The sequence below is a fragment of the Homo sapiens genome, chromosome 16 (genome assembly GCF_000001405.40).
Source record: "Homo sapiens chromosome 16, GRCh38.p14 Primary Assembly".
NCBI classification, from domain to species: domain Eukaryota; kingdom Metazoa; phylum Chordata; class Mammalia; order Primates; family Hominidae; genus Homo; species Homo sapiens.
In genome coordinates, this window is record NC_000016.10 from 66,450,941 (window position 1) to 66,474,195 (window position 23,255).

General features: G+C 47.3%; 2 protein-coding genes, 1 long non-coding RNA gene and 1 pseudogene across 7 annotated transcripts in view; 1 reads left to right on the forward strand and 3 right to left on the reverse strand.

Moving 5' to 3' along the window:
• On the reverse strand, window positions 1-17,826 carry LOC107984807 (nuclear envelope phosphatase-regulatory subunit 1-like; annotated as a pseudogene).
• Window positions 1-23,255, forward strand: part of BEAN1 (brain expressed associated with NEDD4 1) — a 67,994-nt gene that overhangs the window by 23,646 nt on the left and 21,093 nt on the right. For all 5 annotated transcript variants that reach the window (NM_001197224.4, NM_001178020.3, NM_001136106.5 and 2 more), the window contains one exon: window positions 18,662-18,925. Coding sequence is in view for 3 of the 5 variants with exons in the window: in NM_001178020.3 (NP_001171491.1) it covers window positions 18,662-18,925 (264 nt within the window). In the remaining 2 variants the exon portion in view is untranslated. The remainder of the gene's footprint in view (window positions 1-18,661; window positions 18,926-23,255) is intronic.
• The window catches only part of LOC124903698 (uncharacterized), a 19,348-nt gene continuing 12,087 nt past the window's right edge, over window positions 15,995-23,255 (reverse strand). The window contains exon 5 of the mRNA XM_047435016.1: window positions 15,995-19,122. The gene's annotated coding sequence lies outside the window, so the exon portion shown is untranslated. The remainder of the gene's footprint in view (window positions 19,123-23,255) is intronic.
• The window catches only part of BEAN1-AS1 (BEAN1 antisense RNA 1), a 6,607-nt gene continuing 2,207 nt past the window's right edge, over window positions 18,856-23,255 (reverse strand). Inside the window, exon 3 of the long non-coding RNA NR_109960.1 lies at window positions 18,856-19,122. This is a non-coding gene — a long non-coding RNA (BEAN1 antisense RNA 1). The remainder of the gene's footprint in view (window positions 19,123-23,255) is intronic.

Consider the following 23,255-nt stretch of genomic DNA (forward strand, 5'->3'; position numbering starts at 1 on the left):
CTGTGGGGGCTTTTCACTTATCACTTATTTGAAGAAAGGCTGTTTTAGGCCCCCTCATTGAACACAAGGCCTAGGTTTCAAAATTAGTTTTCCAGTATCATCACCAGACATATTATACTCTGTTAATACTGTTTGACACTGAACTGCTGTAATTGATGGTGCAACTACCTCTTGTGCATCCAGCAAAGAACAAACCTATTAGAGTGAAAAGCTAATCATGAAAAAATGGATGATTCCATAAAGACGTGAAGAAGGAACTCTTTTGTCTCGGGATCTATTAACCACTCCCAGGCACCAGTACAGACAGATCCCTCCATGAGAAACATTCTCCAGTGTCCTGGGGCAGGTTGCAAATGATGAATATATTTAGAGAATCTTCTTTCAAAATCTTTCACTTGTTCCAGCCATGACCTTGACCTTGACCCTGGATGCCTCAGTCCCTGTGCAGGCCCTCAGCCCTCCACCACTTTGCAACCCAAACTCCAACCAAAGTTTTTTTATTTTAATATAGTCCAATGTATCCATTTTTAAATGGTTAGTATCTTCTGTGTCCTGTTTAAGAAATGCAAGGTCATGAAGATGTTCTCTGATGTTTTCCACTTCAAGCTTTACTCTTTTGTCTTTCACATTTAGTTCTGAGTCTAGGGAATGTCTTTAAATTTTGAATATTTGATTGTCATGTATTGGGCACCTATTATGAGCCAGGCATCCTGCTAGGCAGTTTGCTTTGATTAGCTCATAGCCGAAATTGCTGCTCCCATTTTACAGATGAGGCAATAGAGGCTTAGAGATCTGACTTGCTCAGTGGGCACTGCCAGCAAGAGGCAGTGCCAGGACTTGAACCCAGGATTGTCTGTGTCTTATTTAACCAGAGTTCTGTCCTAGTCCAAGAAGCAGGTCAGCTCCAGCAAAGGAACTCGGGACTTTGGCTGCCCAAGGAAGGTGGCTGAAGGATGATCCTTTTCCAGAGACCCTAGAGCTGCTTACCTTCTCAGGATACTAAACGTTGGTGAACACAAGGCCTGGGACTGGGACTGGTTTGATTCTCAAAATAGCTCAGGCCTGCAAAGCAATCTGATGGGGAGTGGGGGATAAAGAACTTCTCCCCAAATGCCCCATAATGTTTTTTGGAATCCACATGCCATGAACCTCATGCTGGGAAACTACTCCAAAGCTCCATGGTTTAGTGTGATGTTGGCAGTCAGTTGAGATCATCAGGATCTATCATGGCAAAGAGGTAACTGTCTTTTCCTATTCTACTGGTTTCTCTCGTCCTGCCTACTGAAGTAACATACTATGCTAATAGATTTCCTGATCTTAAATCATCCTTGCATTTCTGGAATAAGCCCTAGTATACTAATTTTAATACACTGCTACCCTGATGCTGGTTTTCCAAATGCCCTTGTAAATTCTGGGAAATGAAGGAATCTCTGAGGATCAGAGGACAAAATCCTATCACCTTTAATGTGCTCCAGAATCGAAAACCACAGGGCCATGCCTTTTGTAGGCCTCTGGCTTTGGGCCTGGGCAGCATGGTGAACAGTGAAGGAGCCATAATTGCTGTCCCACCAGAAAGGCCTAAAGGAGTTGGCAAAAGCATGCCCATCCAGTGTGACATTTACAGAGGTCAGGTGGCACCAGAATCCCTCATGGGTGTTTGGCGAAGGGATCTGTGGGGAGACCAGGAATCTGAGTGCGTTGTCAGGTGAGTGTTTATTGGGGAAATTTCTAGACGCTTTTTGCAGGACAGACATTCCAGAGTGTAGAGAAAAGGAGGATGGGGTTTAGAGATGGTTTGCTTCATAGCTGGGTTTCCCAATCCTCATGGCACCTCACGTGGCAGACTCACTTACCCCAATGCCCAACTGTACGGCCCCAGAGTAACGAAGGGACACACAGCTCCCCAGGATGGAGAGAGGATATCATATTATTCCCTGGTCTATGGAGTCAGAACCAGGTTCAAATCCTGTCTCCCTCCCCCCAACTAAAAATTGTCTTTGCGATCTTGGGCAAGTCACTTCACCTTCCTGAGCCTCAGTACCCTCATCTATTAAATCAGATTACTAGCACCTACCTCATAAAGCTGCTAAGATTTGTAAATTTTATCTTTTCAAAAAAACAACTTTTGGTTTCATTGATATTCTGTGTTGCTTTTCTGTTTTCTAGTTCGTTGATTTCTGCTCTCATCTTTATTATTTCCTTCCTCTACTTGCTTTGGGTTTTGTTTACTCTTTTTCTAGTTTCTTAACATGAAAGCTTAGGTTTTCAAGTCGAGGCCTTTCTTCTTTTCCTTTCTTCTTTTCTAATATAAGTATTTAAAGCTATGAATTTCCCACTAAGCATTGCTTTAGCTGAATTCCATAAATTTTGATACTATGTTGTGTTTTTTTTCATTCTGTTATACACACACACACACACACACACACACATTGTTTTGTTTTCTGAAGACAAAGGCTTCAAAAGGCTGGAGTGCAGTGGTGCAATCATAGCTCACTGTAACCTTGAACTCCTGGGCTCAAGCAGTCCTCCCACTTCAGCCTCCCAAGTAGCTGGGACTATAGGCATGCACCACCATACCCGGCTAACTTTTTATTATTTTTTTGTATATACAGGATCTCACTATGTTGCCCAAGCTGGTGTCAAACTCCTGGGCTAAGGCAATCCTCCCACCTTGACCTCCCAAAGTGTTGGGATTACAGGCATGAGCCACAGTGCCTAGCCTAAAATATATTTTTATTTTTATTGTGATTTCTTCTTTGACCTATAGATTATTTAGAAGCATGTAGTTTAATTTTTTTTTTTTGGGTCAGGGGGACAGAGTCTTGCTCTGTTGCCCAGGCTGGAGTGCAGTGGCACAATCTCAGCTCATTGCAACCTCTGTCTTCCAGGTTCAAATGATTCTCCTGCCTCAACCTCCCAAGTAGCTGGGATTACAAGCACATGCCACCACACCTGGCTAATTTTTGTATTTTTAGTAGAGACAGGGTTTTGCCATGTTGGCCAGGGTGGTCTCAAACTCCTGACCTCAAATGATCCTCCTGCCTCAGCCTCCCAAAGTGCTGGGATTCCAGGCGTGAGCCCACCACGCCCGGCCTAATTTCTAAGTAGTTGGGGTTTTCCCGGATAGTTTTCTATTTTGGATCTCTAATTCCATTGTGGTCAGAGAACATATTTTGTATGATTTAAATCTTTTTAAATCTATTGAGACTTGTTTTATGGCCCATATGTGGTCTATCCTGGAGAATGTCTCATGTGCACTTGAAAAGAATGCGTAATCTTCAGTTGGTGAAGGCTTCTATGAATGTCACACTGGTTGATAGCGTCATTCAAGTCTTCTGTATCCTGGCTGAGTTTCTAATTGCTTTGTCAGTTATTGAGATTGGGACATTAAAATCTCCACTATTATTGTTGAATTATCTATATCTTCTTTCAATTCTCCCAGTTTTTACTTCATGTTTTGGGGGACTTGTTAAGTGCATATATAATACATATATAGTTTTTATATCTTCCTAATATGTTGACTTTTTTGTCATTATGAAATGTCTTTGTCTCTAGAAATATATATCTTGCCTTAAAGTCTATTTTGCCTGATATCAGCATAACCACTCAAGCTGTTTGTATGCTATATCTCCTTCCATCCTTTTATTTTCAAACTATTTGTGTCTTTGAATCAGGTGTGTTTCTTGCAGTCAGCATACAGGTAGGTCTTGTCTTTTTATTTACTCTGACAATCTCTGCCCTTTAAGTGGAGTTATTAATCCATGCATACATCTTCCTTTTCTTTCTTTCTTTTTTTTTTTTTTTTTTTTGCTTTGGGTTTGGTTTTTTATTTTGTTATTTTTATTTTTTCCTGAATATGGATCATACTTTATAAGACAAAGAAACAAGAAAGTGTGATCCATTTGGATGGGCTCTTTCCAACAGTAGCAGGGAAGCTGCTGGTTTTCACAGACTGGGGAGCAGAGCTGGTGGGGAGGGGTATGGAGGCAGTCATAGGCAAGAACATTACAGGTTCACACTGTGCTTACCTGACATTCAGTCTTTTTCATACTAAGTGCTTCTCAGTTCGTTGTATGCCTTTGATCAATTTCCAGGAACTGCAATGGTACTTTGACAGTTTTGTCTAGCTTTATAGTTGCATGTATGGACTGCTAAATTATCTCCCTTAATCCTCACAGAAACACTCTGAGTGGTCATTACTCTTTTACAGATGAGGAAGCTAAGGTACGTAAGTATTAAATACCCTGGTCAGTGTCACTAAGCCAGGCTCTTAAACACTGCATTTACCACTTCTGGGTACATCCTCTCCCAGTAGCTTTTAGAGCAATGCAAGTAACACCCCCAAATCAGGATGATTATTCACAGCTACAACAGCAAGTAATGTAATGGTGACCTGCACATACCATAAGTTGGCTCATTCTCCCAAATCTGAATCACAGAGGGAATTTGTAAATTGGCTGTGTTGAATGATGCTAACTAGCACCAGAGAGCCAAAGAAGGAATGATTTCCTTTCCTTTTGAAGTTGAGCTACAGAGTGTCCCTGAGCTTCCTGGAGGCCAAAGCAAAACAGCAAAGTGGATCAGTTACATGATTCTCATGGTCTATGAGGAGAAAGTAGCTCTTTTGGAGAAAGAAAAGCTTTCCCTGGCCCTCATATCTTGGAGAAATTTATTACATGAGCCTTACCTAGGGATACTGAGAGGTATAGTGGACAATACCTGCAGCAACACGCTTATAATAAAGCTACTTTTTTTTTTTTTTTTGAAACAGAGTCTTATTCTATTGCCCAAGCTGAAGTGCAGTAGTGCAATCACAGTTTACCACAGCCTTGACCTCCCAAGTTCAAGTGATCCTCCCACCTCAGCCTCCCAATTAGCTGGGACTACAGGCACACGCCACCATGCCCAACTAATTTTGGTATTTTTTTAAGAGTCAGGATTTCACCATATTGCCCAGGGTGGTCTTGAGCTCCTGCGCTCAAGCAATCCGCCCACCTCAGGCTCCCGATGTGCCGGGATTACAGGTGTGAGCCACTGCTCCTGGCTGTGATAAAGCTACTTCTTAAGCTAGTCCCCTCAACACAGGCTCTGAGCATAAGGCAAAGCCCAACTCCAGGAAGCTCATTCTTGGGAAGGAGGCTCAGTCACTGTGGCCTAGGAACACAGCTCTAGGCTGGTTGAACTTGTTCCAAGGACTAAAACCTTTACTGTGCAGAGCAGCCTGTGGATGACATGGCCTTCACACAATCCTTTGTAAATATTCTCTCTCCCCTGGGTGGGATAGCTGATGAAAATTCGCAGCATTCATGAATTTAACATTTTACATGTCAATTATTCACTAGCTTCCTGGAAAGTCCATATTATAGTCAAAGGTCATTTTTCTGAGCCATGATTTTGAGTAGCAAAATGCAAGCTGGGGTGTGGGAGCAAATCCCCTAGCCGGTAGGTGGGCCCAGCCAGCCCCCCAGAATCTGCTTCTCAACCCAATTCCACTGTCTCCTACTTATCAGGCATGCACAGTAACTCCACTGGCATTATATTATATATATAAAAGCCTCTGGGCTCTTTGTGGAAAATGGCCCAAGAGCCAACTCTAGATGGTGATGGAAGAGAAGAGAATATGAGCAGGTTGAGTCCAGTCATTATTCTAGCAAGAAAATGAGAGCTTGGTGTGGGTTCAAGTGGAATGTTTAATTCTAATGTGGCTTGGTTCTGTGATGTCAACCAGTTTGCCATTTGCTCTGCAGAAATAGGGAAAAGTAATTTGTGAAATTGTTTCAGTGAGTTTTTCAGCCAATAAATAAGTTCTTCTTTAAGCCGGAGTTAAAACCTTAGTGAATGATGACAAGGTGGTAAACTTAAGGAAGTTAGATACGCAGAGGAATATGTGCGTTACTCTTAGTGAGTTTATTTAAATAAACTTAAGTGGCAGAATGTATCTTAATAGTGGAATGAATTGCTTTCATCTTACATTTATAGAACCATTAAGGGTTTGTGGGTGGTCACTTGTATTTTTCCAGTTACGTTTTAACACAATGGTTGAAAAGCTTCTATTTGGCAGTAAAGTGCTCTCCTGTTCACTCTGACACATTAAACAGATGGAAGCAGAGGTGGGAGCAGGGAACAGTGCCAGGGCAGCTGTGTGGGACCTCTTGCTTTCCCCAGTTTGAGAGGTCCATTTTAGTCTGATTCATATTTGTGTTCCCAGTGTCTAGCATATATCCAGGCATGAATTAAGTGTTTGGTGAGTATTGGTGAGGGGATGGGTGGATGGATGGATGAATGACGGATGGATGGATGATTAATGGATGGATGGATAAGTGAACGATTGAGTGGATGTTGAGTAGATGCATAGATAGGTAAATGCCTGAGAGGATGGATGATTTGCTGGCTGGGTGAATTGATGGAGGATTGTTGAATAGGGACTGATGAATAGGTATATGACTTCACCTTCCATGTCTCCTGTCCACTGTAATCTGCCCCGCTCCCAATGCCACAAATGTCAGGTGGCATGGACCATGACAAGACATTAGTTGACTTCTTGTAGAGATGCATCCTCATTGTAAAAAGTAGTCTGAACACCAAGTATCCTTTTCCTCACCCCATGATCCAAATGTTCAGCTGCCATCAAGGTGACATCCTACAGACTCACCCCTCTGTGTTCCTGCCCATGCTCTTCTCTCCCTTTACTGATCCTGATATGCTTAGTTCATCTTTCGAGACCCAGCCCTTCTGTGTCCTCCTCTCTGAGATGTCCCTGGCCTGTCCCCAGACCTCCAACATCCCTCTATCAGTCTCCTGGTGACCAGAGGACAGATATCAGCAAGTGAGCTAAAAAGTTGCCCAAAAAAAAAAAACAGCAGCAGAGGAGACTCAGAAGTATCCAAACCAATGAGCCCTGCCCTGCCATGTCCCCTCCCCCAGCCCTTCTTGAAGTCCCTGCTTAGAGGATGGGATCAGCCAATGGTGAACAGAGGGAAAATGGTGCCTGAGTCGTGTTCCCTACACTCCTTCCAATGACTCCACGCCTCACCCTGTCCATTTCAGCAGTGGAGGAAGAGTGTACTGATGAGGCCAGACTTGCCCGGGAAGTGGACCTGTGACAAATGTCTTTGGAATTTTTGTGACAGGAGCCATCCATTAGTTCTGAGTCCTTGGCCCCCCTTCTCCCTCTAACCAGCATCTCTGAGAGAGTGGGCAGGATTGGCAGCCTGAAGGTGCTGAGTCAGCACTTTTGCGTCTCTGTTCCTTCCCTTTGTCACTGCAGCTCAGGTAGCTTCAGGCTGCAAAGAGCACTTCCCTGAACCCAGACAGAATGACTGTGGAGCTGCCTCCATGCTACACTCAGCAAGGACTTGGGAGTGATGGTCTGCCTCAGTTTCCCTGCCCTTAATGTTCCCCAGGTTCCCCACACCGGAGCCAGCCCTGACCTAAGCCACCTGATACAGGCCTGGATCTCATTCCCTCCCCTCATAGTTTTTGGCCCCCTCCCCTCCCACCCTGGAGGGAGTTGAATAATCAGTGCCTCTTCAAACAGCCAGCAGGTTCAGAGAGGGCAAGCGGCATGCCGAAGGTCACACAGTGAATGAGTGACAGAACGAGGAACAGAGCCCAGTTCTCCGGCCCCCACCCCCAAACCCCTCAGCCCCACAAAATCCTGCTCTCTCCTTCTGCTCTGTGCTACTATTTGATAAATTATCAGATAAACCTGAGTTCAAACCCCAGCTCTGCCACAAAACCAGGTGGGCAATCTTGAACACATAACTTTAGCTCACCAAGACAAAATGTCCTCATCTGTAAATGAGAGTGACAGTGGTATCCACACAGAGAGGAAGCAAGCCCCAGACTCACTCCCACATCCAGGTCTGCAAAAGGACCTTTTTGCACTTAGGACCTTCTGATTCCATGGAGTTCCCAGTCCCAGCCCTGGACTAGAAGCTGGAGGAGCCAGAGCTGGCTTCTGCCTTGCACAGCAGAGGCCCATGGACCCAGGCACCGCTCCTGCCTCGTCAGGGGACTTGGGGTCCCATCTGTGGAATGGGAATAATACCACGGCTGTCTCTGAAGGCTGCTCAGAAGACAACTAATTGGAGAGGCTAAGGAACTCCCTGCAGTGTCATTCTGTGGCATCAAGTGTGCTCATCCAAGCCGTGCTCAGCTCTGTGCTCACCTCTGTTCAGGGCAGAGGCCGTGGGCTCAGCTTCCTCTAGCCTGAGTTCCAAGCTCATGGGGACCCTTGCAGCAGCCTCCTCCCTGGTCTCCTGCCCCGAACCCTGCCTCTGCCCATTCTGTCCTCCATCTGCAACCCGAGGCTCTCCTAAAACACTCTGACCACGCCCCTCTTTGCCCTTGGGGAAAAGGACAATCTCTTTCTCTTTTTTTTTCTTTTTCTCTTTTGAGGTGGTGTTTCACTCTGTCACCCAGGCTGGAGTGCAGTGGCACAATCTCAGCTCATTGCAACCTCTGCCTCCTGGGTTCAAGCGATTCTCCTGCCTCAGCTTCCCGAGTAGCTGGGATTACAAGCACCTGCCACCATGCAAGGCTAATTTTTTGTATTTTTAGTAGAGACAGGTTTTCACCATGTTGACCAGGCTGATCTCAAACTCCTGACCTCAGGTGGTCCACCCACCTCAGCCTCCCAAAGTGCTGAGATTACAGGCATGAGCCACTGCACCTGTCCCAAAGGACAGTCTCTTGATGTGACCTTGAAGACCCCTCACGGTATGGTCCCTGCAAGCCCCTCCAAACTTAGCCCCCAGCAGGCTTCTCTCCAGCCTCCTCCTCTCTTGTGATTCCTCAAATGCATCAAGTCCTCAGCAGGGCCCCAAGATTCTCCTATAATGGAATTTGCCAGACGGATTTATCACTGATGGGCAGCCCATTCCAGACCAGGACTCTTTAAGTCCTGACTTGCTCTTCTGGCTGAAAGCACCTACTCTGTTCCGACACTCTGCCACTCCTTGTAAATGTCTGTGGATCCCACGATTGGGCTGTGGGGGTTGGGTGGGTGATGGACGGAAGGATGGGCCAATGGGTGACTGGGAGCAGCTCCCCTGGGATGCACTCAGGCACACCGTGCACACCAAGCAACCAGTCACAGACTGCCCCTGGTCCAATTCAAATGGCTCCTGAGCTTCCTCTCTGCACTGGCCCTGCCCAGTATCCTAGGCAGATGGGGTGACAAGAGAGAGAGACACAGGCCCCACCCTCCTGGTGTTCTCAGTCCCTGTGGAACCAGAGCGCTGGAGAGTGCCAGTTCAGGAATTGCAAAGAGCATTCCAGGCTCACCACTTTAACCAGCTCTGTGCTCAGCTTCCCTCTCTGTAAGATGGAGGAAAGACACTCTCCACCTCTCAGGGCTGCTGTGAAGATTAAATGAGAGAAGCATGCATGAAAAGAGTTTAGAGCCTGATGGATGTACAGTAAGTGCTGTCAGTGAGAGCTATCTTATCTTTATCATTGTTCTTCCTCAGTAAAATCACCCAAGGGTCCCTACCTGCAATCTAGAACATCTCTAGGACATACCCAGAGATAGAACAGATACAGAACAGGAGGTCCTCGCACATCCCTGGATGATTTGCTTCTCCCCAGGCACCTGCCTGCTGTGGCCCATCTCTTTCTGAGACACACAGGCTCCCATCTCTGGAATCCTGGTATCTTATGGCAATGTTCAGCTGTTGATACACCTTCATCCTGAATAGCCCCAGGTCATGGCTGGCTCTGGCTATATATCAAGTGGCTCAGAAGAAGCAAAACATCATTTTGGGGAGAAGAGCATTCTCCCTTCACAAGAGTTAAGAAACCAGAACTCCCAGTGCATGGTGCCTGGTAGCCACAGAATAGCATATTGGCTAAGAGCACAGGGCTTCAGTTTTTCACTGACCCAGGTCTCTATCTGTGGGGCTGTGTGACCTTGGGAAAGTTACTTAACCTCTCTGAGGCTGTTTCCTTACCTGTTAACTGGGGAATCCCATTATAGACCATCATGAGGATTAAATGAGATAATGTGGTGCATGACAAGTACCACGTATGGTGTAAGGCATACAATACAGTAGGTGCTCAGGAGATGGTAATTACTCATGCTGGCATTGGGGGGGAGGTGGTATCTCAGAGAAGAGCCTATTTTTTTGAGGTTTCCACTGGATCATGAGCACCTTTATAGAAACTGCTTGGGAAGAAAGTCCAGGAAGGAGGCAAAGCTTGTTTCATCTTCTATCCTTGCTGCAGCTGGTACAGGGGGACAGGGAGACCGGGGGTGGGAAGGGGGATTGTCATCATGTTATTTCTCTGCAGTCATATTTATCTTTTTGATAAAATAGGCCCTTGTTTTGGAAATTGGAAGAATTTCCCTCATAATTTAAAGCAGCGCCTACCTCTGCCGGTTGTGGTGACTGGGAGATTAATTTCCTAGCTGTCCAAGCAGGCGGATGCCTGCACCAGCTGGCTCCATCTTGCAGGCATGGGTGATGCCATCTCCCGCCCATCTGGTAATGAGCCTGGTGCTGCTAGACAAGGGCAAGGCTCTCATCTGCTGCTGACGCAGGTGAAGGGAGAGGCATCTTCAAGGTGACCCCATGGGGCTGGTCCCAGAGGCAGGTTCTGCGTGCTGTGCAGGGCAGGCAGGCGCAGACACACACACACACACACACACACACACACACACACACACACACAAACGCACGCACATCCAACTCTAGGTTTGCAATCTAAGCACCTGCAACCCTGCCATGGCCAGGGGTCATGGGGGATCATGGGGTGACCAGTGTGTCCCAACCCACATCTGGGGTCAGAAGACATTCCAGAGCCCCATCGGGGACAAGACTCTTGGAGCCAGCCCACTATTCTACAGAGTGTGAACCCCTCACACTACCCTCCCTAAGGAGGGCTGGTGTCCCTAACACTCCCAAGTCCTGCCCTGGGCTCTGAAGGTGAGAGGACGCATGACAGAGAGCAATCAGAGTGGCCATTGGCTCAGGAGTGGTAGCAGGGAGAACCGGGATCATGCTAGATGAGTGGTAGCCAAAAGCTCCATTTCATAACCAGCTCTAGCCAGTTGTAGTCACAGCATGGAGTGCTGTGTTGAGAAGGATGCTGAGTCTGCCTTCTGAACTGAACTGGAAAGAGAACCATGGTCAATTAGTAATGTCTGCCATTGGCATAGACTTAGAAAGTGGTGGCAGGTATGCTATAGATTCACCAGACAAGGACTAGATTTCTCCTAAGTTGAGGTCAAACAAGCCAAATTAAACTGACTCCATTTGCCTACAAGAAAAAGATGGAGGAGAGCCTCACCTTGCCACCTTTTCTCTGTGAGTCTTGAAGAAAAATTACAAGCTTTAGTTTACAGTAGCCAAGGGAATAAAAATTAGAGGTTGGCACTTCATCCAAAACTCAAGCTGTCACAATCAGTCAAAAAATAGAGAAGAAACTGAATTCTAGACTAATGAAGAGACAGACACAGAGCCAACTAAGTTTTCTGCAGTTCACTCAGTCACCCAACAAATATTTAATGAGCACCTATTATGTGCCCAGCACCTGGCTGGGCGCTGCAGATTCATGCAATAAAAGAGTCAGGACAAGGCCAGGGGCAGTGGCTCACACCTGTAATCCCAGCACTTTGGGAGGCCGAGGCGGGTGGATCACCTGAGGTCAGGAGTTCGAGACCAGCCTGGCCAGCATGGTGAAGCCCTGTCTCTGCTAAAAATACAAAATTAGCTGGGCATGGTGGTACATGCCTATAATCCCAGCTACTTGGGAGGCTGAGGCGGGAGAATTGCTTGAACCCAGGAGGCAGATGTTGCGGTGAGCTGAGATCGCGCCATTGCACTCCAGCCTAGGCAACAAAAGCAAAACTGTCTCAAAAAAAAAAAAGTCAGGACAGATGGGATATCTGCCTTCAAAGATCTAACAATCAAATGAGGTGGACAGGGAATCCAAAGACATCACAATTTAATAAACAAGTAAACAAATAAATAAGCAGGATGTTTAGGGATTGTGATGACTGCTGTTCAAAGAAAACACATGGCATGATATATAGTGGGGTAGAGGTCAGTCAGGAGCAACCTGTCTGAGGAGCTGACTTTTAAGGAAAGCTCTAAAGGATGAGAAAGAGGCAGCTGTGCACCATGTACTTTGCGGGACTACCATGAGTAATACTCATGAATATTCATGTACACATTTTTGTGTGGACTTATGTTTCCATTTTTCTTGGGTATATGCCTAGGAGTGCAAGTGCTGGATCATGTGATAATTATGTTTAACCATTTGAGAACTGCCAGTCTGTGTTCACAAAGCAGCTGTACCATTCTACATTCCCACCAGCAGTTTATAAGGGTTTCCATTTCTCCACATCCTCACCAACACTTGGCATTATCTGTCTTTTTGATTATAGCCATCCTACTGGGTGTGAAATGGTATCTCATTGTGGCTTTGATTTGCATTTCTCTGATGGTTAATGATGTTGGGCAACTTTTCATGTGCTTACTGGCCAATTGTATCTTCTTTGGAGAAATGTCTGTTCAGATCTTTTGACAATTTTTTTAATTGGGTTGTCTTTTTATTATTGAGTTGTAAGAGCTCTTTACATATTCTAGGTAAAAGTCCCTTATGAGATAAGTGATACACAAATATCTTCTCCGATTCTACCGACTGTCTCTTCACTTTCTTGAAGGTGTCCTTTGCTGCACTAGTTTTTAATTTTGATGTTTATCTATTTTTCTTTTGCTTCTTGTGCTTCTGGTGTCGTATCTAAGAATCATTTGCCAAATCCAAAATCATGACAACTTACCCCTATGTTTTTATCTAAGAGTTTTATAGTTTTAGGTCATACATTTAGGTCTTTAATCCATTTTCAGTTAATTTTTGTATATTATGTAGGGAATCCAACTTCATTCTTTTGAATGTAAGCATTCAGTTGTCCTAACACCATTTGTTGAAAAGACTATTCTTTCTTCCATTTAATTGTCTTGGCACCCTTGCTGAAAATCCACTGACCATAAATATGAGGGTCTGTTTCTCAACTCTCAATTCTAGTCCATTTATTTATATGTCTATCTCCATGCTAGTACCACACTATCTTGATCATAGTAGCTCTGTAGTAAGTTTAGAAATCAGGAAATGCGTCCCCTCCAACTTTGTTCTTCTTTTGAGGTTATTTTAGCTACGTTTGGTCCTTTGAATTTTCACATGAATTTTAAGATCAGCTTAAGATCATTTCGGTTTCTGCAAGGAAGGCTGGGACTTTGATCAGCATTGTGTTGAATCTTCAGATGAATTTGGGGAGTATTGTCATCTTAACAATATTTAGTCTTCTGAAACATGAACATGGGATGTCTTTCTATTTATTTGGATCTTTAATTTCTTTTGAAAATGTTTTGGAGTTTTCAGAATATAAGTTTTGTATTTTTTTTTTTCTTTCTTGAGACAGAGTCTCGCTCTGTCACCCAGAATGGAGTGCAGTGGCGCATCTCGGCTCACTGCAAACTCCGTCTTCCAGGCTCAAACGATTCCCCTGCCACAGCCTCCTGAGTAGCTGGAATTACAGGTGCCTGGCACCACGCCTGGCTAATTTTATTTGTATTTTTAGTAGAGACGGATTTTACCATGTTGGCTAGGCTGGTTTCAAACTCCTGACCTCAGGTGATCCACCCGCCTCAGCCTCCCAAAGTGCTAGGATTACAGGTGTGCGCCACTGTGCCCAGCCTAAGTTTTGTACTTCTTTAGTTAAATTTACTTCTATTTCATTCTTAATTTCATTTTAGGTTTGGTCATTGCTACCATATAAATATATTATTGATTTTTATCTATCAGTCTTGTATCTTGCAACCTTGCTGAATTTATTAGTTCTAATAGTTTTTTAATGAATTCCTTAGGATTTTTTATATACAAGATTATGTCATCTGCAAATGTAGTTTTACTTCTTCCTTTACAATGTGGATGCCTTTTATTTCATTTTCTTGCCTAAATTGCCCTGGCTAGAATCTCCGATATAATGTTGAATAGAAGTACCAAAAGTGGACATTCTTGTCTAGACCCTGATCATAGGGAGAAGGTTTTAGTATTTCACCATGAAGCACCATGTTATCTGTGAGTCTTTCATAAATGCCCTTTATCAGGTTGAAGAAGTTCCCTTCTATTTTTAGTTTGTTGAGTGATTTTATCAAGAAGGAGAATTCAATTTTGTCATATTTTTCTGTATCTGTTTTGATCATGTGGTTTTTGTCCTAAAGTCTATTGATATGGTATATTACATTAATTGATTTTTTGGATGTTAAACCAATCTTTCATTCCCGGGATAAATCGTATCTAGTCCTAGTGTATAATCCTTTTTATGTATTACTGGATCCAATTTGCTAGTATTTTGTTGGGGATTTTTGCACCTATATTCCTAGGAGATATTGTTCTGTAATTTTCTTTTCTTGTAATGTCTTTGTCTAGTTTTGGTATCAGGGTAATGCTGGCCTTATAGAATGAGTTGATAAGTGTTCCCTCCTCTTCTATGTTTTAGAAAAGTTTATGGAAATTGGTATTATTTCCTTTTTAGCTTTTTCTGTTGTGATAAAATATATGTAACATAAAATTTATCACTTTAACCATTTTTAAGTATACAGTTTGCTGGTATTAAGTACATTCACATTGCTATGCAGCCATCAACACTATCCATCTCCAGAACTCTTCTCATCATCCCAAACTGAAATCCTATATGCATTAAAGTTATTATTTCTTCTGTAAATTTTTGGTAGAATTCTCCAATGAAGCTATCTGGTCCTGGGATTTTCTTTCCGGAAAAAGAAGCTGAGAACTTTCTCGTGTTAATAATTCAATCTCTTTGCTTGTGATAGGCCTCGCCAGAGTTTCTGTTTCTTTTTAAGTCTTTTTCCTTACTTTTGTGTATTTCTTGGAATTTGCACATTTTATCCAAGTTATCCAATTTGTTGGCATACAGTTGTTCATAGTATTCCCTGAAAATTCTTATTTCTGTAAGGTCTGTAGTAACACCTGTAACTGGGACCACAGGTGTGTGCCACCACACCTGGCTAACTTTTTGTATTTTTAGTAGAGATGGAGTGTCACCATGTTGGCCAGGCTGGACTTGAACTCCTGGCCTCAAGTGATCCACCCACCTCGGCCTCCCAAAGTGCTGGGATTATAGGTGTGAGCCACCGCAGCCGGCCAAATTTGTTAATCTTTTTAAAGAACCAACTTCTGGGCCGGGCGTGGTGGCTCACACCTATGGTCCCAATTACTCAGGAGGCTGAGGCAGGAGAATCACTTGAACCTGGGAGGCAGAGGTTGCAGCTGCACTCCAGCCTGGGAGACAATGCGAGACTCTGTCTCAAAAAAAACAAACAAAAAAACAACAACAACAACAAAAAACACACTTCTGGTTTTATTGGCTTTCTCTATTGTTTTTCTATTCTTTATTTCACTAATTTCCACTCTAATCTTTATTATTTCCTTCTCTCTGCCCACTTCAGATTTTAGTTTGCTCTTCTCTTCCCAGTATCTTAAGGTAGAAGGTTAGGTTGTTGATTTGAGATCTTTTCTCATTTTTAATGTAGACATTTACATACATAAATTTCCCTCTAAACACTGCATTAGCTGCATCCTGCAAGTTTTTTGTTTTGTTTTTGTTTTTGTTTTGAGATGGAGTTTTGCTCTTGTTGCCCAGGCTGGAGTGCAGTGGCACGATCTTTGCTCACTGCAACCTCCGCCTCCCAGGTTCAAGTGATTCTCCTGCCTCAGGCTCCCAAGTAGCTGGGATTACAAGCACCCACCACCACGCCCGGGTAAATTTTTTTGTATTTTTAGTAGAGACGGAATTTCACCATCTTGGTCAGGCGGGTCTCAACCTCCTGACCTCAAGTGATCCACCCACCTCACCCTCCCAAAGTGCTGGCATTACAGGCATGAGCCACTGCGCCCAGCCTGCATCTCACAAGTTTTAGTGTGATGTCATTTTAACTTATCACCAAAGTGAGGCAGACAAATCCAATTTGTCAGTACAGAGTGATTTATTTGGGGAACTTAAGGATGGAAGTGTAGTCTTGGAGAGCAGCAAAACAGGTAGATCTCCACACTGTTGCTCCCCAGACCCAGGGCTTATATATCACAGGGAAAGGGTATACATGCTCTATGCAAGACAATTAAAGGCAGCCCTCCAGAACAGGCAAGAATGCTACATGCATCATAACCTATAATTTGTGCAATAACATCAAGGCTGACATGTTCTTACGCTAAAGACAGTAAATAAAGTGAGAATCAGGAGGTTTTCACAGGACCAGGGCTAATCAGAAGTCAACAGGGCAGATTAGCATCTGTATTAGTTCATTCTCACATTGCTATGAAGAAATACCTGAGGCCGGATAATTTATAAAGAAAAGAGGTTTAATTGACTCACGGTTCCAGATGGCTGGAGAGGCCTCAAGAAACAGACAATCATGGCGGAAGGCACCTCTTCACGGGGCAGTAGGAGAGAGAATGAGTACAAGCAGGGGAAATGCCAGACACTTACAAAACCATCAGATCTCATGAGACTCACTCATTATCACGAGAACAGCATGGGAGAAACTGCCCCCAAGATTCAATTACCTCCACCTGGTCCTGCCCTTAACACGTGGGGATTATAGGGATTACAATTAAAGGTGAGATTTGGATGGGGACACAGAGCCAAACTATATCAGCATCCAAGATGGAGTCACTCTTGTCTCCACACCCCACATTCTCACATCGGAGGGTCAGGAAGCATGCATGTCCAACCAAAGCCTTAGGGCGCTCCCTCACTCCAGTGCGTGCCTCTCCAGGGGAGCGTCTTACAGTGAACTTCAGCAAAGGCTTGGCTCTCAAGAGTGAGATGACACACTGGCCCAGACACTAGAGCCTCCATCTCACTCCCTCCTGATGAAGGCTAGTAGGCTGCAAGAGCCACCAGCATGGGCCACACCTGCCCCAAGGGCATGTTTCTAGCCCCAGCTAAGGTCCCGAGTTTGTGCTTTACCACCTGTTCCTGTCCTAGGTTGAGTGTGATTGAGGCTTTTGGGGTCAGTGCTAGAAAGGTATGGGAAGGAGAAACGATCACAGCTGAGTGTCAAGCCTCTGATTGGTAGATGGCCAGGCCCTCACCTGGGAAAAAAGCCCTCCTACAGCTACTCAGGCAGGTGGCCACCCACGCTCTCCTTGATTACCACCCAAGACAGAGGCCTCACTCTCCTGAGGCATCGCAAGGCCTCCCTGCCATTTCCCCATCTGGTCTCAAGACTGGAGCTACTCACTCAATACATGCATTAGGAAACTTTGGAGTGCCTAGCCCCATTGTTGAGTTTGAGGACACAGAGAGTGATCAAACACAAGCCCTGGAAACCAGACATGATCATATGTAACAAATGCAAAGCTGGGGCTTGAACATGGGCTCTGGGAGAACGTGCAAGGGGACCCCTCTCAGAACAGAGCCTACGAAAGATCTGACCTTCCTGGTGCTTGCCCGTGACCCTGTGGTTCATTGAATGTCTGAAGCTGGCTCCCTACTGCTGTTCAGAGATCCGGCTGGCAGCCTCAGGAAGGGTTTGCACTGAGAGCAGGAGAGGCACTGAGGGCAAGAGAGCAAGCACTGGACTTTGAAGCCAGATCTGGGTTCTAGCTTAGCTCTGCCGTGGAGTAACTGAGCAACCATGGGCCAGTCACTTACCAGCGCTGAGTCTCAGTCCACCCATCTGTGAAAGGAGAAAGTTGCATCCTAAGTTGCAGGGCTGAGTTGGAGGGAATTCAGTGACACTCCAAGACACTCACTAATGCGGAGCTGACTGTCCACGTGAGGCAGTGGGTGCCCATGGCTGCCCCTAGCTGACTCAGACCCCTCCCCAGGACCCCAGCTCCCAAGGCCCCAGCATCTTTTCCGGTGAGAGGACTAAGTCACCCGTCCCCAGGAGCTTCTTTCCGTAGGACTCTCAAGGATCCAGCTGTTAGTCCTGGAGGAGGTTCCTGCACTCTCCCCTTGCTCCCACCACACCACATCCTCCCTGGAAGTCCCCTCTACCCTTCTGTGCCTTTGTCCCTCCTGGAATGCCTCTCCCTGCCTTCCCTGAGCTAACTCATCCTCACCCTCCAAGATCACCTTGGCCTTACCTCTTCTGGGAAACCTTCTCTCATCTGATCCAAGCCCCTGACGCATCTGGGTCAATTTCAGCCCACAGCCCCAGGCCTGCCTGAAGCCGGCAGAATCGTTACTCATACTCTGTCCCCCTGTGCATCCCCCACTGCTTCCTAAGACATTGGTAAAATCATGTTGACCTTTCAACTTGTCTAGCTCTAAGAGTCTTGGATTCAAGCCTCAGCTCTACCACTAATTTGCTGGGTAACCTTGGGCAAGTCCACTGCCCTCTCTGAGCTTCCTGTTTCCTATCTGTGAGGTAGTTCAGCTTGTGGGCAGAGGCTTCAGAGGAGAGGAGGGACAGTCAGCCCTCACTACCAGAGGCTCCTGCAGGCAGCGGAGTGAGGTGCTGCTCTCCTTCTCCCCCAGGAGCAGCCAGGATAGAGTCCGTGGGCCTGAGCCCAGACCCTCCTCCATTTATTTAGGGAGCAACAGCTCACAGGGCAGCACGGGCAGAGAAGGAAGGGGTGTGGCAGGCCTGGGCTCCAGCTCAGTGTCCTCTCTCTCTGTCCACAGTAGCACGATACAACCGCACCAGCTACTTCTACCCCACATTCTCAGAGAGCTCGGAGCACAGCCATCTGCTCGTGTCCCCCGTGCTGGTGGCGAGTGCCGTCATAGGTGTGGTCATCATCCTCTCCTGCATCACCATCATTGTGGGCAGCATCCGCAGGGACAGGCAGGCCCGGCTTCAGCGGCACCGCCACCGCCACCACCGCCACCACCACCACCATCATCACCACCGCCGGCGTCGACACCGAGAGTACGAGCACGGCTACGGTGAGCCGCCGCCCACCCTGGGGCCCTGGGACCTCATCTGACTGGGATTGCAACACAGGAGGCATCAAGGAGTTGGCAACTCTGCCCTGGGTGGAGCAGGGTGGTCGGGAAAGCATCCTAGAAGTCTTGGGTGGTCAGGAAGAGCTCACAGGCGCCCACCATAATGTTCTCGGTGACATGAGAGGCCCGGATGACTGCTAAGAGAGAAACTCAGAGTGAGGCTGAAGGTCAGAGGGAGAGTGTGTCACTCCTCCCCTGCCACTGTTGGTCCAGGCTGCACCAAGGGCTGGTCCATCTGGTGTCTCGATGGATGGATGGATGGATGGATGGATGGATGGATGGATGGATGGATGGTTGGGTGGAGAGATGAGTGGATGAATGAAGAGAGGAATGGATGGGTGAGAAGGGAGAAGGACTCGTAGGAAAATGGATGGGTGAGGAGTGAGGTGATGGATAGATGGAGGTTGAGTGGAAGAGTCAGTGGATGGGTGGAGAGATGGATGGGTGGAGAGTATGAATGGATAAATGGGTAGATGAAAGGATGGATGAATGAGAAAATGGAGGGATGGATAGATGGGTGGATTGAGTGTTATGCCTGAGTGGAGAGATGGAAGGGAGGGTTGAGTGGAGGAATGGAAAGATAAATAGGTGGGCAGTGGGATGGGTTGATGGGGGTGAATATATGAATAAGTGAATGGGTGAATTTATGGAATGAATGATGAGTGAATAAAACTATCCCTGGTGAGAGTCAGCAGAGTGCAAATAGAACTGATCTGAGGGTCTCCCAGTTGTTGGGATCACCCTTAAACAGAGTTGGTGGCTAATTCTTGGGTGACCAGTCCCAAATCTGTGCATGTGGCTAGAATGCCTGAACTTTTTACAGAACGCAGCCACCTGACTGTGTCACTCCTGGAAGGGGCCAGCTGTCTAAGGCAGCAGGAAAAAATTCAATTGCATTCCATTCTCAGACGATTTTCAATGGCAGGAAAAAGCCAGACTCTTCCTTCCCAAATCACCATCCACAGGCCTTCAGGGGCCTCTGCCTAGGTCCAAGGCCACCACCAGATAGGGAAAAGAAAAGCAGGACCTTGGAGGTGCTTAACAGCAGTAGGCACCCTTCACACTGCAGGGTGAAGTGATGCCAACCTCCTAGGAGCCAGAGCCATGGCCAGACCTGAGGCGTTTCCCTCTCCAAGGCAGGAAAAGCTTGGGGAAAAGAAAGATAGGAAAAATTTTTAAAATAGATTGAATTGGATCCGATCAGCCCTGGCCTTTGGGGCCCCTCCTCCCCCTCCCAGACACACCCTGATTAGCCAGGTTTGGGGTATTTCCTGTCCTTTTTCAGAGTTAACTGGTTAAGGAGGGGACTGATGGGTAGCTGGAGCTGGTGAACAGGAGCCTGGGTAGTAATGGCCAGTGAGTAAGGAGTGCTTGCTGGGTGCCTGGCGCTGTCTGTGCACATAATCTCACTGCAAAATCCTCACCATGGTCCTAGTGAGATGATAACTCACTTGAGCCCAGGCAGCCTGACCTGGCACCCACAGGCTGCCCCGCTGCACAGCACTGCCCAGGAAGGGAGCTGGAGGTGTCGGGGAGACGCCCCTGGGAGCCGCCCCGTGGGCTCAAGGCAGTGTCCGGCAGACACGTACATGGCCACAGTGGGTGTCACTCAGACCTGGATGTTGCTCCCCTGGGAAAGCTGTTAGGAGAATCAGAAGAGCAGGAGGCTGGACCTTGTGTAAGACACAGAGGGACATCCCGGGATGAGTCGGACAAGTGGCCACAGTTGAGGAAAGACACAGCAGGCTAGTGGACTGTTCTCACTGTCCAACAATGAGGATCAAAGAGAAAGTTCAGCATGAATAAAACAGATGTGGAAAGCTCAGCCCACCCAGTCTCTGCAAGTCTCCCCAGAAGCCAGGGACTCCCCAAGGAGACAAGCCAGAAGCACTCCCAGGCCAGGACGGGCCTGTCCCACCCCTGCATCACCAACCTGAGGCTGCAGAGTCCAGGGCTCCTGCCCAGAGCATGCCCATCCCCTGCAAGAGAAACCCAGGTCCCCAAGCCCTGGAGGATGCCGGGTAGACCCAGGATGGTCAGTCTGCCGCCTGCCCCTCGCACAGCCTGGCCCTTGCCCAGCTCCTCCCACTCTTTTCCAGTCCCCTGTCCATGCTCCTTCCAGCCTCTGCCCTTTGCCTGGGCTCTTCCCTCTGCCCTGACTGCCATTCCCTGGCCTTCTCGAACCGAAAAAAAGCCTTCCAGGCCCCGCTCAAAGGCTGCCTCCTTATGGGAGCTTGTCTGGCCTCTCCTCACACCTACCAGGCAGAGCTGGATAGGTGTCCCCCTCCTCTGTACCTCCTCGGCATTGCACCCATGCCTCCCTCAGTGTCTTGGTCATGGGGTGATTGTGCTGCATCCATGAGAGCAGGGCCCACAGGTGACTCGTCCCCAGACAGGCTCAGGCCTGGAGGAAGCGCTCCATGGGCAAGGTAGGAGCCACTGTATTTTATCCTCAAGGCAAAAGATGTAGTTGCCCCCTTTAAAGACTAGGAAACTAGTCAGGTGCGGTGGCTCATGCCTGTAATCCTAGCACTTTGGGAGGCTGAGGCGGACGGATCATCTGAAGTCAGGAGTTCAAGACCAGCCTGGCCAACATGGCAAAACCTTGTCTCTACTAAAAATACAAAAATTAGCTGGGCATGGTGGCACATGCCTCTCATCCCAGCTACTCAGGAGGCTGAGGTACAAGAATCGCTTGAACCTGGGAGGCATAGGTTACAGTGAGCCAAGATCATGCCACTGCACTCCAGCCTGGGTGGCAGAACGAGACTCTGTCTCAAAAAATAAAAAGTAAATAAAGAATAGGAAACTGGGCTGGGTGCCATGGCTCACACCTGTAATTTCAACACTTTGGGAGGCCAAGGTGGGAGGATCACTTCAGACCAGGAGTTTGAGACCAGCCTGGGCAACACAGCAAGACCCCATCTCTACAAAAAAAATGTAAAAATTATCCAGGTGTGATGGCACATGCCTGTAGTCCCAGCTATTCAGGAGGCTGAGTCGGGAGGGTCCCTTGAGCCCAGGTCAAGGCTTCAGTGAGCTATGATCTCACCACTGCATGCCAGCCTGGGTGACAGCAGAGAGAGACCCTGTCTCTAAAAAAATAAAAAAATTAAGACTGGGAAACTGAGGCACAAAGAAGCAACTTGTTCAATGACTTATCTTGGAGTGCACGCTAGGCGCCCACAGTAGTTCCCAAGCTGAGAGGGCTGAGGGGTTGGCCTTGGCGCAGAGGAAAGAGATGGGCTTAGGGGCAGGCCAGCCCCTCTGTAGCCTGTGGTGGCCTCGGGACTGGTGCCAATGAATGAGGCCTCGGCTCTGTCCCTGGGGTGGGTGGGATGACTGAGGTCACAGCTCTGCCAAGCGGGGTCAGGCCTTGGCTTCCCCACTGCAGCCTGTGGTGGTGGTGACCCCTGTGGGGTTCCGGCCTCCCTGCCCCACTTCTGCACTCGGCTACAGCTTTGACACCTCCTGGGGCCTCGGCAGGGAACCCAGAGGTGCTGTTGCCCCATATCTTCCCCCAGCCTTCTGGAGGATGCGCAGGGGCTGCCGGGAGCCTTGGGAGGGTGCCAGGGAAGAGGGAAACGCACTGTGAGCAGCTGTGGGAGAACATGAAAGCGGCACCACCAGGCGCGGTGCCTCACACCTATAATCCCAGCACTTTGGGAGGCCAAGGTGGGAGGATAGCTTGAGCTCAGGGGTTTCAGGCTGCAGTGAGCTACGATCACACCATTGCACTCCAGCCTGAGCAACAGAGCAAGACCCTGTCTCTAAATAAATAAATAAATAAATAAATAATAAATAATAAATAAAGAGGGAGGGGCAGTGTACCAGTGAACCCCAACCTTTGGCACTGGGCCCCTTCCACCTGTCAGACACACTCACAGCCCCCCAGCTCTGGTGACTCAAGCCCTCCTGGCCTCTCTCCCACCCCTCTGGCTGCGGATTCCTCTCCTCTGTCCCTTTATAAGTCAAGGTCCCTCAGATCCCACACCTTGGTCCTGGTCCTCTCTCTACACCCACTCCCTGCTCCATCTCATACACCATCCATCATCCTCCCTTACCTAGCTCCAGCCCGCAGGTCAGCTCCAGAACTGCATGCCCAGAAGTCCCCTGGACATCACCCTGTGAAGCCCCACAGGCACCTCAGGCTCCAGGTGTCCACAGAGGCCTGATTTCCTACTTCCTATGCGCATCCTCAGGAAAGCTGCCAAAACTCTCTTTGCCTCAGGCGAGTCATCTATAAAACTGGTGCAAGAGGATCCACCTC